Source organism: Homo sapiens, chromosome 3 (genome assembly GCF_000001405.40).
Source record: "Homo sapiens chromosome 3, GRCh38.p14 Primary Assembly".
In the NCBI taxonomy this organism is placed as follows: Eukaryota; Metazoa; Chordata; class Mammalia; order Primates; family Hominidae; genus Homo; species Homo sapiens.
The window spans coordinates 25,622,454-25,638,635 of record NC_000003.12 but is presented as its reverse complement, the minus strand read 5'-3'; the positions used below and the strand labels follow the sequence as shown (position 1 = coordinate 25,638,635).

Below are 16,182 nucleotides of genomic sequence, written 5' to 3'. Positions count from 1 at the left end.
AAACCTTTTTTAAAGGTTTTCTCATGAGTATGTTGCCTTTTTTGTCATCCTGAGATGTTTAAGATCTGTAATTTTCCATTCCTTGCCTTCATTTCCTTCATAATCCTTCTCTATTAGTTACGACTCAGGGAAAGAAATGTTTGTCCTCAGCGAGTATTTTCTTGAGAGATGAATCAGTGCCTTCCAATTGATAATGACTAGTATCTTATAACCATTAAGGTTTATTCTAGATTACTTTTTAATGAATTAATTTATCTTTACTATTTTAAGCTCTAAATTCTGCTTTTTTTTTTTTTTTTTTTTTTTTTTTTTTTTTTTTTTACAGTGAATCTAACATTATAAGCATTTGGAATAATGGGAAAGGCATTCCAGTAGTAGAACACAAGGTAGAGAAAGTTTATGTTCCTGCTTTAATTTTTGGACAGCTTTTAACATCCAGTAACTATGATGATGATGAGAAAAAAGTTACAGGTAAAGTCTGAATGGAATTTTGGTTGAAAAATACTGTTTTCTTAATATAAAATGTATAACTTACTAAGGAAATTGTGCAGTTTTGGTGTGAGAAAATCATTGTCAGAATTAATATTTATAAACTATCATGTATAAATATTGTCTTGGTAATAGTTTAACAGTGACATTTAAAAACCTTAAGACTGATAGTACATTGACTTTATGTTAGAACTGCTGGAAGTTTAACTTGGCTGACAGTTTGAGTTTTGATTTAGATAGGACTGGTATGATGTCTATGTATATAAATTTGTTATTACATAGCACTGTGTCTTTTGGTATTAAGTTACTTTTAAACTGTTTTCCTTGAGAAGGTCAGGATTGAAAATCTAGACTCTGTAAATAGAGTTGAAAGTGCTTTGACCAAAACCATATATTTTCATACTTATTTATGTTGCCCAAATAGGTTGATAGGTTTTTTGTTTTGTTTTGTTTTGCTTTTTAAACCAACGCTCCGGGAAATGATATAGATTAAAATTTTGTAATAGAGAAGCAAGTTTGAGAGAAAGTTCAGATTTCATACTCACAGAGATTTGCTGGGTCGTGAAAGATACAAAGCTTAATGCTTTTGAAATTGTAAAGACTGTGGTAAATGTACAAAATACCCATTTTAATTACACTACTATATATACTAAATCTTAATTGTATTTTTCTTTAAATGGAAGAAAATCTAAATATACTCTGGAATCTTCAATTGGTGATTGGTAATGCAGTTAGTGGAACAGTTTTGCAACAGCCTTGCCGTATGGTGGTAAATTAACGAAGTTCCTTTAAAATCATTTTTACTAAACCTTTTACATTTAATTTTTCTTACAGGTGGTCGTAATGGTTATGGTGCAAAACTTTGTAATATTTTCAGTACAAAGTTTACAGTAGAAACAGCTTGCAAAGAATACAAACACAGTTTTAAGCAGGTATGCTAGAAACACATCTATTTCTTTTTTTAAAATAACGTTTTATTATCTTGCCGAGATAGTAGAACCTTGGGTAAATTGCAGTGATGCCTGTATAACTTCATTTTTTTTTTCCAAAGCATTATCCAAGTCAAATCATCAGAGTAAAGAGACATCAGAATGCCTGGGAGATTTAATATAAGCCTATTCCTCTATCATTCCTTTCAAACAAAGTGCTTTATTTAACAGACTTTATTTAACTTAGTTAAGTATTAGTGAAAATGTCCTGAACCTCGCAGACTCATGTACATGCAACCACTTAGTGTGTTTGAAAAATTCCTCAATGAATCATCAAATTTATATTTCAAAATTTTATTTTATTCTTGAAGGTCTATGAAAATGATTTGAAATTTTATATAAGCTAAAATAATTTTTATTTTAAATTTTCTTTATTGCTCTCCAGCAACCCCGTTGTTGAAGTAAGCTAAAATAATTTTCTCAGGAAAAGCATCATGCATGTTTATTTTTGTAAAAGTCTATATAGTCACGTTGAAGAATTTGAGAGATTTTGTTGGCAGTTTATAAAGTTGTACAGTTTAGTTTATTTTTAACATGAGATTATTATCACAGTAATACAGTTGCCTCAGGAGGATTGGTTCTGGGATGCCCTTTCTATACCAAAAATCAGAGGAGGATCAAGTCCCTTATATAAAATGGGGTAGTATTTGCATATAACCTATACACATCCTCCCATGTACTTTAAATCAACTCTAGATTACTTATAATATGTAATACAGTATAAATGCCATGTGAACAGTTATGCTGTATTTTAAAAATTTGTATTTTTTCCCAAATATTTTTAAGCTGCAGTTGGTCGAATCTGCAAATGTAGAACCTGTGGCTACCCAAGGGCTGACTGTATTTACTATTTTTTTTTGTCTGTAATATTATCAAGGATTTGTTTGGTTTGTTGTGAAGTTGTAAAATTGATATAGTTTGATAAATGAATGAATTTAATGAGTGTAGTCTTTATATATTATGAGATATGGAAGCATTATAGAAATATTTGAATTTTTTTCTTTTAAAGACATGGATGAATAATATGATGAAGACTTCTGAAGCCAAAATTAAACATTTTGATGGTGAAGATTACACATGCATAACATTCCAACCAGATCTGTCCAAATTTAAGATGGAAAAACTTGACAAGGATATTGTGGCCCTCATGACTAGAAGGGCATATGATTTGGCTGGTTCGTGTAGAGGGGTCAAGGTCATGTTTAATGGAAAGAAATTGCCTGTAAGTGTCCTGTAAAATAGTTTTAATACTATGTTATTTTATAGAGAGAATATTGTTGGGTCTTCCTTTTTTAAAGCTCATCTGGTAGTCTCTTTTACTGGTGTGTTCAGATGATTCACATTTAAAGTGATTATTGATACATTTGGCCATTATTTCTTCAAATAATGCTTCTGTCTTGTTCTTTCCTTTCCTTCTTGGTTATATATATGTTACATTATTTGATACTGTCTGCAGTTCTTGCATGCTTTGTCTATTTTATTCACTCTACTTCCACTTTTTGTATTGGTTTAATTTCTATCCCCTCTCTTCAAGTTTAGTCATTTGCAGTCTCTGCATCAAGTTTCCTGAAGAGCCTGTCAAAGACATTCCTCATGCCTTCTATGTTTTTTGTTTTTAACATTTCCATTTGATTATTTCTTATAGTTTACATGTCTTTGCTGAAGTTGCATATTGTCTACATTTTCCATTAGATACTTTAACATACTAATTAATTGTAGTTATTTAAAATACTTTATCTGATACATGTTACAAAATCTGTGAGATACTTACTCTGTTTCTGATAATCGCTTTATCTTTTCAGATTGTTTTTTTCTTGTCTTTTGGCATGCCCTGTAAGTTGTGGAAAACCAGATTTGTTTTGTAGATATCGAGGTAAATAAGCATTAGTGTGGGACTTAGGTTATATTTACCCAGGAGATGGGCTGTGTTTGAAGTTTGTTTTTGCTGTAGTTATTAGTGTTGAGGTTTGTTGTTGCCGTGAATACCAGAGACTTCCAGATTCTTTCTTGTTTTTGTCTTTCCCCTTGGCTTAGGCCCTTCTTTTTGAGCTGCCCCTCAGAGGTGATCTGTCTCTTGCAGCTCTTCCAGCTGAAACCCACTGTTGTTAATGGAAGCTTGGTAGCATGATGGTAGATTTTGGGGGAGATGTTCTCTAATGTCTCATTACATCCCAGTCTTTGGAGTGCATGGTGAACCTGTATCTCAGGGGTTTGACCTTTATAAGTTTATGCCTCTCCTCCATAGGTAAAGACTTTTTTTCTGCCCTCTATTCTCTTTCCCCAGCTGCAGCAGGTTTCCACCAGTGTTCTCAGCCTGTGTCCTTGAGGTTTCCTGCCCTGCAGAATAAGCCTTTTTTTGGTTTTTTTTTTTTTTTTTTTGGTAAGGGAGATAGATCTGGGTTGATTTCCCAGTGACTACTGTTTCTGTCTCCCAGCTAGCACCATGGGAGTGCAGAGGGGAAACCTCTAGATTCTCACTGGTCTTCCCTGTGAGAATTTGGTGGGTTTTCTGAAAGAAAAACCTGCAAGAGTATGAATGAATGAACTTATGACTATAGTCCCTAGAAGCTTTATGCATTCAAACTAGTATACACTCTTCCAGTAGCAATTAGTCAAAATTTCTAGTTTAAAGTTCCTACTAGCTTATTAAATATCTGCCCCAGGTAAGCAAAAGCTTAGGTTTTGTGGTCTCCTACAGACACTTATGTCTCTCCAGACTTCAGGATGGCCAGCTCTCCTGTGATCTCAGTTCTTCAGTGGGTTCATGAAAAACCCATTAATTTGTTGTCTGATCACCCGTTTTCTTACAAGGATGGAAGCTTTTTTTCCTGCTAGTTCATTATCTGTCTGAACTGAAACTGGAAGTCTACCTTATCATTTTAAAAATAGAAATTTCTGAAATATTTTATAACAATTTACCTGTCCCTTCACATCCTCTTTTTGTCAAGTACACATAGAAATGAATTTCTTTTTTAAAGGTCAAGGGTTAAGGAATAGATCTGGGAAATGCCACTAAGGTTTGGATCGGTGCACTTAGAACTGTTGTAAGTGAGAGGAAATGAAAGTATACGTACTGAAGGTGATTCACCTATTTGAGCTGCCAGTGTAAGATTTTTAATTGTTTTTGTTTTTTAAATTAATAGGTAAATGGATTTCGCAGTTATGTAGATCTTTATGTGAAAGACAAATTGGATGAAACTGGGGTGGCCCTGAAAGTTATTCATGAGCTTGCAAATGAAAGATGGGATGTTTGTCTCACATTGAGTGAAAAAGGATTCCAGCAAATCAGCTTTGTAAATAGTATTGCAACTACAAAAGTAAGTAAGCAAATTATTTGTTTCCAAGTCAGTGGTAGAACAGTACTTCAATAAAAACTACAAAACAAATAACAATATCCACAACCCCCAAAAAACCCAAATCTGTTTTTGTTAAATAAGAATTGACTTATGAAAACAAAAACCTATTTTCTATGAAATTGCTGTATTAAAATTTATTTAAACAATTATTGAGAAATAAATTTATATGACTAGTGTTTGTAGTTGAACATATTTATATTTTATGAAATTTAGAATAACAAATTCCTTTTTCTGTAACTTTTAGCCCCACCTTCCCCAACCTCTGGGGAGAGGAGAGGGGGCTGGTGACTGAGTTAAAAATCAATTATGGCTATGTGATAAAGCTCTGTAAAAACTCCTGAACAATGGAGTTCACAGAACTCCTAGGTTGGTGAATACATTTGAGGTGCCAAGAGGGTGGCATGTCTGGGTAAGGCATGGAGCTTTGTGTACCCTTTCCCCTGTACTATGCCCTATGCATCTCTTCCATTTGGCTATTATTGCTGGATCCTATATAAAAAACTTGTAAATGAAGTAAAGTGTGTTCTTGAGTTCTGTGACCTGTTCCAGCAAATTATCATTCCTGAGGAGTGGGTCATAGGTTCGTTAGAAGTACAGGAGGCCTAGGACTTGTAACTGGCATCTGAAGTGTGGGGAGTCCTGTGGGATTGAGCCCTTAACCAACCCTAAATACTTGTGCTAACTCCAGGTAGTTAGTATCAAAATTGAATTACATTGTTGAACATCCATTTGGTGTCTGGAGAATCAGAGAATTGGTTGCTGGTGTTGAAAGCACCTGAGAATTGGTGTTAGAATTGAAGTGAGGAAAGCAAACAAACAAACAAACAAAAAAAACACAGCGGTTGGTTTATTGGCTCTGTAGCCAAAATGTCTTATTTTTTTAAAATCTCAACTCTCGTTCTGAGACTCTATTACTCTTTTAGAAAATAGGGTTTATAATACAGATAAAGTATTTTGCTACTTTAACAATACAGGATTTCAGATTTCATATATTTTTTTTTCTTTAGGGTGGACGGCACGTGGATTATGTGGTAGATCAAGTTGTTGGTAAACTGATTGAAGTAGTTAAGAAAAAGAACAAAGCTGGTGTATCAGTGAAACCATTTCAAGTAAGGGATGTGTTATATATTGTACATGATGCATACATATGCATTATATATATACTGAATTACTAAATATCAGCTCTGATATTGACTTTTTTGGGTATGTTTTCAACAGGTAAAAAACCATATATGGGTTTTTATTAATTGCCTTATTGAAAATCCAACTTTTGATTCTCAGACTAAGGAAAACATGACTCTGCAGCCCAAAAGTTTTGGGTCTAAATGCCAGCTGTCAGAAAAATTTTTTAAAGCAGTGAGTAAAACTTGTATTTTTTTTATTGTTGTTATTAAGAGTTGATTAGGTAGTTTTCTTGATTTACTTTATTTGTGATTAGTTTCTTTCATCGTATTAACTGTGGGTATAAGCATGCTTGCACTACAAACTAATATGCTTAATTTGATAACTTTAAAGGGTAGACTTTAATGTTTCCTAAAACAATTGTTTTGCCAAGAACTAAAGTAGGGAATTATGTAACTAATTGCATTTTTAGCTTTGTATTGACCATTGTAAAGGTCAGATTTCCCCTAACAGATGTCCAGATCCTTATGCAACTCTTTCATCTTTTCTACTCTCATTTCAACTTGATCTACTGATTCTTATCTTTATACATGTTTAAAAATTGTGGTAACATGTATAACAAAATGTACTATTTTCTACATGTTCTTAAATTGCTTTGCTTTGCACATAATTTTTTTAGGCTACCTTAACTTCTCTAAAATAAGGTGAGAGCACAAATAAATAATGGAGATGAATCAATCACAGCCTCTCCTCTTTGGAATTTTGGTGGGGAAATGCTCTATAACTGCCCTAGAACTAATGTATTTCTCAAATTCCAAAAAGTAGATTATCAGAAACAAAAACAAAAGTTGTTTTTTAGGTTCTAACTTAAGGCCTGTAGAAATAGTACTTTTGGATCTAATCTTAATGAATTCTGAGTACAAATTATGCTATATTAATGCTTTCCCAAATTTCTGTCCTCATAACAATTGTTTCCTTGATGAAGTGATTTGATTTTAAATTTTATACTTTTTCATTTTAGGTGCACTAAGTTTAAATTTGACAACACAGTTCACCTCTTTTGTTTATGTCTTAAACATTCCAGAAAACTGTTTTATACACCTAACATCAAATCACCGAGGATGATAAAAAAACTTTTAGGACTTAGAGTTGGAGATGCTTAACTTTCTTTTCCTTTTTCTGTCTGGGTTAACATCTTGCCACAGATTGATTCACTGCAGAGTACAAACAATATGTAATGTTGAAATCTTTATTACCAAGCTATTTAAAGAATAAAAGTCTATTCATAAGTTACCAAGGTTATCCTAATGTTCCTTTTAGGTTAATACTTTTTGTCATAGTGAATTAAAGACTCACGTTTTGTATTGAAGGATATCAGAAATGTCAACGTCTGGAATTTGCCGGCTAGTAGGTTCATGTGTGGATCTGTTTTCACTGTGTTAATTTTAATAAAATTAATTTGTAACAAGAGCAATGCATATTCCTCATGGAGTTTATTATAATAGAATGTTTCTCATATGTAAAAGTTATCCTTTTTCATGTATTTATATTTTAGCTTTAATTTTACAGTAGTTGAGTAAAAGCTGATTAGCATGTATCATGATGCTTATCACCATTATTGTTTTGCCCTAAAATACCTTAAAATTGCACAGATTCCAGGTCTTGCATTAGGCCCTATACATTTTAGCTAAATGTATGAATTTTCAGCTTGTTTGTATACCATTATTCTTTTATTTTTAGGCCTCTAATTGTGGCATTGTAGAAAGTATCCTGAACTGGGTGAAATTTAAGGCTCAGACTCAGCTGAATAAGAAGTGTTCATCAGTAAAATACAGTAAAATCAAAGGTATTCCCAAACTGGATGATGCTAATGATGCTGGTAAGATTGATATTTTTAAATAAGATTTTGATTTAAGTTTCACTTTTATTTAGTTACAGAATTTTTTTATTTTCTACATATAGTTAGACTATGATTTTCCATTCAGAGTATGATTTTACTTCATTGAAATTATCACATACACAACATATTACTAATTTTCAGGGGATAGGAATTTAATAAAATATACTTAATATTTATACTGAGCAATAATGTAAAATAACTTTTATAGTCTTTCACTGTCAGCATTCTAATGTTAATTTTCTGACTTCATTTTTCTCATCAGTGAAAGTATGAGAAATTTTTACTATGTATAATTTTAAATTTCTCTCAGGTGGTAAACATTCCCTGGAGTGTACACTGATATTAACAGAGGGAGACTCTGCCAAATCACTGGCTGTGTCTGGATTAGGTGTGATTGGACGAGACAGATACGGAGTTTTTCCACTCAGGGGCAAAATTCTTAATGTACGGGAAGCTTCTCATAAACAGGTATGTATGTGTGTGTATATATATGTGTATACACACATGCACACATACATATGACATTTCTAATACTTTACTAAACTTCTCGAATTTTTAAATGTAATTTCTGACTCGTATATTTCAACACTTCAAACTACTCTCAGTGCTTTTCCTTTTTGAACAGATCATGGAAAATGCTGAAATAAATAATATTATTAAAATAGTTGGTCTACAATATAAGAAAAGTTACGATGATGCAGAATCTCTGAAAACCTTACGCTATGGAAAGATTATGATTATGACCGATCAGGTTGGTTTTAAAGTTACCACATATTTCAAATTCATGTCTTCTTCAGATTCTCCCTTTAATATTTGTTTTATGAGACTTGCCCGAAGATGGTATAACTGAAAGTGATTATACATCAGGAGGAAAAAATGAAAAAACCACGTCATTTAGTGGAAACATTTTTATGAAGCACATTTTACATTGTCTGATTTTTGGGGTAACTAAGGAGAATATAATACAGTGTGGTACTATAGCAGCCTACCTACAAGTAGGAACAAAATTATGGAATTAACAAGTAAGAAAGATTAATGATAAGGGTTAATATTTATACATGATGGCATGATTTGGAATGCACAAATACCAGGACTTAAATAGTAAAATGATGGTAATCGAGAAAGAACTAGAAAATTGAAAAGGAAGAATTTCAGATGCATTCAACTGTTTTCTCTTATGCACTCTAAAGTATTTGTAGAGAAAATCTGCAACTGAAAAAACTGCTATTAATATATAGTTTTAAGCAGAAATTTTCCAATTTTTTATCTAGGGAAGACTTGTGAATATCTGTATTACCTGGGTTTCCCTACCATTGCCCATTAAGGTGGCATTATAACCATGTTTTATTTTATGTATTTTCTATCCTTAAATCATTCTTTTAGTGAAATCTGGGGAAACTATAAAACAGATAAAATGATAATATATTTTTATAATGACAGATTCAGTCTATTACTACTATATTCTTTATTTGTGTATTAAAAAATTTAGTATGATCATCTTAATAGCTTTTGTAAAATGCATTTCTAAAATTCAGAATTTTGGTTTTTTGCATTCACGTTTTAAAATTTGTTTATATAAGTAATCATTTTATAAAAGTATTACAACATTTTTTACTTTACTAACATTTATTTAGGATCAAGATGGTTCTCACATAAAAGGCCTGCTTATTAATTTCATCCATCACAATTGGCCATCACTTTTGAAGCATGGTTTTCTTGAAGAGTTCATTACTCCTATTGTAAAGGTACTCTTTGCATTAATATATTTTTATATTGTTGTCTTAAAGGGTAGCAGAAAAACTAATTTTGTTTTTTAATTAATTTAAGGCAAGCAAAAATAAGCAGGAACTTTCCTTCTACAGTATTCCTGAATTTGACGAATGGAAAAAACATATAGAAAACCAGAAAGCCTGGAAAATAAAGTACTATAAAGGTTTGTATTTTAAAATACTTAGATTTTAAATACTGATATAAATGTATTCTTATGAAAGCAATCTAAAAGATGACTTGAAAGTTTGACTATTTTAGACTTCGAAAATAGCTATCACTGATTTTAAAGTATTGTTATAGAAAAATGTATGCAAGTAGAATAGTGTAATAGATTTCATTGAATGGGATCACCATTTCAATGGCTAGTCTTGTTTCCTGTAAACCTCCTTTATTGCCACTCCATTAGTTTGAAAAAACTTCCAGACATTATAGTCTAGTATTTCACCTATAACTACTTCAGTATGTATTTCTGAAAGAATTTTTTTAAGTAACCCATAATACCATTATCATAACCTTCTTTAATATCCTATTGTTGAGACAGGGTCTTGCTTTGTCACCCAGGCTGGAGTGCAGTAGCATGAACACAGCTCACTGCCGCCTTGACTTTCCGGGCTCAAATGATCCTCTTGCCTCAGCCCCCGCAAGTAGCTGGGACTACAGGTGTGTGCCACCACACCCAGCTAATTTTTGTATTTTTGTAGAGATGGGGTTTTGGTTTGTTGCCCAGGCTGGTCTTGGACTCCTGAGTTCAAGCCATCCACCCACCTTGGCCTCCCAAAGTATTGGGATTACAGGTGTGAGCCACCATGCCTGGCTCCCTTTTTTTTTTTTTTTTTTTAAATAATGTTAAATACCCAGCCAGTGTTAAAATTCCCCTGGACTGTATTAAAATTGTTTATTTTTAGAGTTTTTTATTTTTATTTTTATTTCGTTTTTTTTTAATTGTTTTTATTTTTTTGAGATAGAGTCTTGCTCTGTTGCCCAGGCTGGAGTGCAGTGGTGGGATCTCGGCTCTCTTCCTCATGTGTTCAAGTGATTCTCATGCTTCAGCCACCCAAGTAGCTGAGATTACAGGCATGTGCCACTATGCCTGGCTATTTGTAGTATGGGTGGGGTTTTGCTGTGTTGGCCAGGGTGGTCTAGAAGTCCCGGCCTTAAGTGATCCGCCCACCTCAGCCTCCCAAAGTGCTGGGATTACAGGCATGAGCCACCATGCTTGGCCTGAGTTTGTTTGTTTTTTTCCAAAGTCAGGATCCAAGTAAGGTCCACACATTGCATTTGGTTGATAAGTTTATTAATATAGCATTTCTCTTTTTATATTTTTTCCTTGTAATTTATTTGTTAAAGAAGTTGGGTTGTTTGTTCTGTGTAATATTCCACATTCTGGATTTTGTTAATTATATTCCTCTAGTTACATTTAATATATAGTATTTTCCTTTGCCCTTATTTTCTGTTAACTGATGGTTAAATCAGAGGCGTGATCAGATTTGGGTTACATTTGTTTGGCAAAAACATTTCATAGGTAGCGTTGTGTGCTTTCATCAGGAAGCATCTAATGTCTACTTTGTCTTTAGTTGCTTATTAAGATTGATCACTTAGTATAGGTGTTGCCAGCTTGATCCATCTATTACAACTTTTCCACCAGCTTTTTACTTGATGGTTTTAAACAGACATTGATATTCATGACTCACTTTTATTTTTAAAATTGTGCAGGATTGGGTACTAGTACAGCTAAAGAAGCAAAGGAATATTTTGCTGATATGGAAAGGCATCGCATCTTGTTTAGATATGCTGGTCCTGAAGATGATGCTGCCATTACCTTGGTAATTAAGTTAATTTTTTAAAAGCTTTTGTTAGCCATCCCCCTACCTTCTATTCCTTTCCTCCCAGTCCTGGTTCCCTATGATAAGTCTCTTTTGAATGCTCAAGCTAGTTAATTTTAATTTTTCCCCCAGATGATGCTGTGCTTGTATAAACTTCTTTAATTGAAAGACCTTAGTTTAAATGTGTTTTTGATTAAAATATTGTAAAATAACCTAATTTTCCAGAAATTAAGAATTAGTTATTGGCCACTTATACATTTTAATTTTGTAATAAAATTTATTTTATTTTTAATGTGCAAAATCGTTACCTGGAATCTTTCAGGCATTTAGTAAGAAGAAGATTGATGACAGAAAAGAATGGTTAACAAATTTTATGGAAGACCGGAGACAGCGTAGGCTACATGGCTTACCAGAGGTTAGTCTTAAAGAGTGGTGACCTGGGGAAAGAAGGAGAGAGAGACTAGAATTCATGCAGTAATAATGATAATATTGCTATATAACTTTTCTCTTAGCAATTTTTATATGGTACTGCAACAAAGCATTTGACTTATAATGATTTCATCAACAAGGAATTGATTCTCTTCTCAAACTCAGACAATGAAAGATCTATACCATCTCTTGTTGATGGTGAGTAATATTTAAAAACCTCATTTTTTAATGTTATTTACTATAGTTTAATTTCATGTACTTTAAGCCATCCTTATGATACATATTAAAATTCTTACTTTAAATCTTGTATATGAAGAGCTTATTCAGAGGAATTTAAGGCCTTTTTGATTTTGCTTTTGTTTTATGTTTTCATAGTGCTGAAATCTTTAATATTCCTTAATTTGAAACTTTTAAACCTTTTCCGAGTTTTTCAGGAAAATTAACTTTAAAAGTCTTAAAGCTTTTGCCCAAGTTGTCTGCAGATTTTCTAAAAAAGTAAAATGGAACTTTGATAATTTCTAAAATATTTATCAGAGATTAAATTTTAAAAAGCTTTTATTCTGTATTACCCAAAGCCTAATGCTTTAACTTAACTTGAAAAAAATTTAGGAACTATTTCTAATTTGAAAAAAATTTAGAAACTATTTCTCGTTAGTTGAAGCAGATTTTGATCTTCTATCTAGAACTTTTTTTTTTCTCATAACCTTTATGAAGTTTGTTGATCTTTGTATTGCTTGGCTTTTCTGGTAATAGCAGATGTTTCTACCTATCCCTCAAGTTCTAGCCACAAATCGCCTTTCTTCTATGAAGCCTTCCTAGCAATTCTACTCTAAATTGGTCTTAGATACCTAAACTTCTATACCAATTATTATGTACCTCTTATTTTACCTTTGTTCATTTTGCCTCTAGAATTAGATTACAAAATTCTTAAAGAAGTTGCCATATTTTATCATCCTCATGTTTTTACCATACTCTGGGTCCAGTATGATTACAGTGATAGCATATACTGAAAAGATTGTTACTGTGCTTATTGGCCTAGAGCCAGGGTGTCTAACCTTTTGGCTTCCCTGGGCCACATTGGAAGAGGAAGAATTGTCTTGGGCCACATGTAAAAATACACTAACACTAACGATAGCTGATGAGCTTAAAACAAAAACAAACAAAAAACAAAAATAATTGCAAAAAAACCAAAAAACAAAAATAATCGCAAAAACAAACAAACAAAAAACCTCATGATGTTTTAAGAAAACTGACAAATTTGTGTTGGGCCACATGCAGCCCACGGGCCACGGGTTGGACAAGCTTGGCCTAGAGCAAGAAGAATGGTAAGGGAGCAGAGTGATTTGCTCACATTGTTTCATGCAATCCTTATGAAAACTATATTAAGAAAGTAATTATTTCTATTACTTGGATGAGGACATAGACTTACTAGTTATTTGCTTAGTCACATGGTAAATGGCCAAGTTGAGAAGAATATACAGATTAGTGAGATTCTAAAGCCTTTATTCTTCACTACCACAATAAATCGCTTTTTATAAGGGTTTTCCTGATGTGGGATACTTAGAATAGATTTCAGGCTCCTTGATGGCATGCTGGCAATTTAGTTAGCTACAAATGGCGTTTTGGTTGTTTGAGTGTTTGGAAACTACTGTTAAAGGAGTTTGGTACCACTAGGTGATTCTTTAAGGCCAGAATGTTGTCTTTCAATTGGCAGTTCACTTTTGGAGTAGATGGAGATGGCATAAAAACATCTTAGTATATACCTGCAGATGGCTTTCTAGGAAAAAACAAACAAACAAAACAAACGTGTTAGTATGTACTCACTTTGTTACAGAATCTCAAGTAACAATTTTACTGGTGTTCTTGAAAAGCAAATTGTATCTTTGCTTTATTCCCCTGAATTGTTACAACTATATCTTGAAGTAACATTTTAAAAGAGCTCTTTTAAAAATAGGCTTTAAACCTGGCCAGCGGAAAGTTTTATTTACCTGTTTCAAGAGGAATGATAAACGTGAAGTAAAAGTTGCCCAGTTGGCTGGCTCTGTTGCTGAGATGTCGGCTTATCATCATGGAGAAGTAAGCATTAAGATTGGAATCAATTGAGAACTGTAATTATTGTCTTGAAGAATGATAATTACACATAGTATTTTTCCTTTAGTAAAGTCTTTGGAAATGTAAAAGAATTAAGAGAATATACAGATTAGTGAGATTCTAAAGCCTTTATTCTTCACTTGGATTTTAATTCAAGTTGGGGAGTAATTATAGAAAATTTAGAATATTAATGTTATGTTCTGCCTTCTTCTGTTGTATAGCAAGCATTGATGATGACTATTGTGAATTTGGCTCAGAACTTTGTGGGAAGTAACAACATTAACTTGCTTCAGCCTATTGGTCAGTTTGGAACTCGGCTTCATGGTGGCAAAGATGCTGCAAGCCCTCGTTATATTTTCACAATGTTAAGGTAAATATTTGCTGATATAATGGTATAAAGTTTGATTTGATTTGGAACCAACTAACTAAATGTTCGATGGAATTATAGCTGTGGAGAGATGTGATTATCTGGTTATTCTACTTAGAAGGTGAATGTTCCAAATTATTTGACCACAAATAGAATGAAGTCTGTTGACCTTAATTTTTATGAATTGTTGGTGAAATCAGTCCTAGTGAATTAAGGATGTTTTTCTCACCAACTTTACTCTTTAGGCTGAAGATGGGTTATGTACTTTATTTAGAGTAATAGGAAATTCTTTAAAAGTTATCAATATTAAATCAGGTAGGTAAGTACATAAGTAAAATAGGACTATTTTATTCTGGGCTTGTAACTGAGAGAAAGATGCATTTGAATAATACAGTTAGGCAAATTTTATTATTAAGCGGATGTAATCAAAATTATTAAAAATGCATTCTCTTCAAAAGATTTGTTTTTGCAGTGTGAAGTTTTTAATTATGTATAAAGTTTTCTTTCCCAAAGCCATGACATTTTTTCATTTGCTTCTTTTTGTTTTCATTAGCACTTTAGCAAGGCTACTTTTTCCTGCTGTGGATGACAACCTCCTTAAGTTCCTTTATGATGATAATCAACGTGTAGAGCCTGAGTGGTATATTCCTATAATTCCCATGGTTTTAATAAATGGTGCTGAGGGCATTGGTACTGGATGGGCTTGTAAACTACCCAACTATGATGCTAGGGAAATTGTGAACAATGTCAGACGAATGCTAGATGGCCTGGATCCTCATCCCATGGTAATTATTTGGAACTTATTATTTATTTAACAAATGATAATGTGTAAACTACAAATTCCCGTCATTTTAGAAAAGTAATGGAACATTTTTATTTTAGAACATATTGTAGACCGTAAAGACCTAATTAGGGTATAATTTGATATGTGCCTACAGTAAAAAGTATAAACTTTGGAATGAGTTTTGGAGGTAAGTTTCATGGGGAGAAACTGTTTATTTAAATTTAGAAACACCTCATATTCCAGGTTTTCAAACCTCTAAACCCTATATTATTAGAAAACAATCCTTTTCTGATAAAATTATGTGTAACCTTGTTTCTGTTCTCAAACTACCGCTTAATAGTTTGTAAGGATGCTTAAAAACACATTGTATTCATTAGTGTACCATTTGTAAAAAGACAGAAAACAAACTACCTTGTATATATTTTAATATATCCCCAAGGCTGGGCGTGGTGGCTCACACCTGTAATTCCAGCACTTTGGGAGGCCAAGGCATATGGATCACCTGAGGTCAGGAGTTCGAGACCAGACTGACCAACATGGGGAAACTCCATCTCTACTAAATATACAAAAAAAATTAGGTGTTGCTCAGGCTCACGCCTGTAATCCCAGCACTTTGGAGGCCGAGGTGGGTGGATCACCTGAGGTCAGGAGTTCTAGGCCAGCCTGACCAAACCAGGTAGAACCCTGTCTCTACTAAAAATACAAAAATTAGCCGGGTGTGCTGGAGGGCACCTGTAATCCCAGCTACTTGGGAGGCAGAGGCAGGAGAATCGCTTGAACCCAGGAGGTGGAGGTTGCGGTGAGCCGAGATTGCGCCACTGTACTCCAGCTTGGGGAACAGAATGAGACTCCGTCTCCCAAAAAAAAAAAAAAAAATCCCCATTTTTTTTTTATGTTTGTTGTTTTCTTGTATCATTCACTCTGCTCAGACCTCCTCCAAGAAAAATGTCCTTCCTTCCTCCCCATGATTTAAAATTACCTGGAGAAAAGTGTATTTTTATTACCAAAATGATAATGTTTATTGTAGAAAATATAGGTAAGCAAAGAGTAAAAAAATCCATA

The 16,182-nt window shown here is 33.1% G+C and overlaps 1 protein-coding gene across 5 annotated transcripts in view; it reads left to right on the top strand.

Annotated features, from left to right (window-relative positions):
- TOP2B (DNA topoisomerase II beta) overlaps nt 1–16,182 on the top strand; it is a 67,003-nt gene that overhangs the window by 26,272 nt on the left and 24,549 nt on the right. For all 5 annotated transcript variants that reach the window (XM_047448821.1, XM_011534057.4, NM_001068.3 and 2 more), the window contains exons 5-21: nt 326–471; nt 1,324–1,421; nt 2,488–2,700; nt 4,622–4,795; nt 5,842–5,943; nt 6,053–6,190; nt 7,697–7,835; nt 8,167–8,324; nt 8,482–8,607; nt 9,491–9,601; nt 9,684–9,789; nt 11,340–11,449; nt 11,772–11,864; nt 11,962–12,076; nt 13,833–13,954; nt 14,191–14,339; nt 14,890–15,121. In XM_047448821.1, the coding sequence (XP_047304777.1) occupies nt 326–471; nt 1,324–1,421; nt 2,488–2,700; nt 4,622–4,795; nt 5,842–5,943; nt 6,053–6,190; nt 7,697–7,835; nt 8,167–8,324; nt 8,482–8,607; nt 9,491–9,601; nt 9,684–9,789; nt 11,340–11,449; nt 11,772–11,864; nt 11,962–12,076; nt 13,833–13,954; nt 14,191–14,339; nt 14,890–15,121 (2,332 nt within the window). The remainder of the gene's footprint in view (nt 1–325; nt 472–1,323; nt 1,422–2,487; nt 2,701–4,621; nt 4,796–5,841; nt 5,944–6,052; nt 6,191–7,696; nt 7,836–8,166; nt 8,325–8,481; nt 8,608–9,490; nt 9,602–9,683; nt 9,790–11,339; nt 11,450–11,771; nt 11,865–11,961; nt 12,077–13,832; nt 13,955–14,190; nt 14,340–14,889; nt 15,122–16,182) is intronic.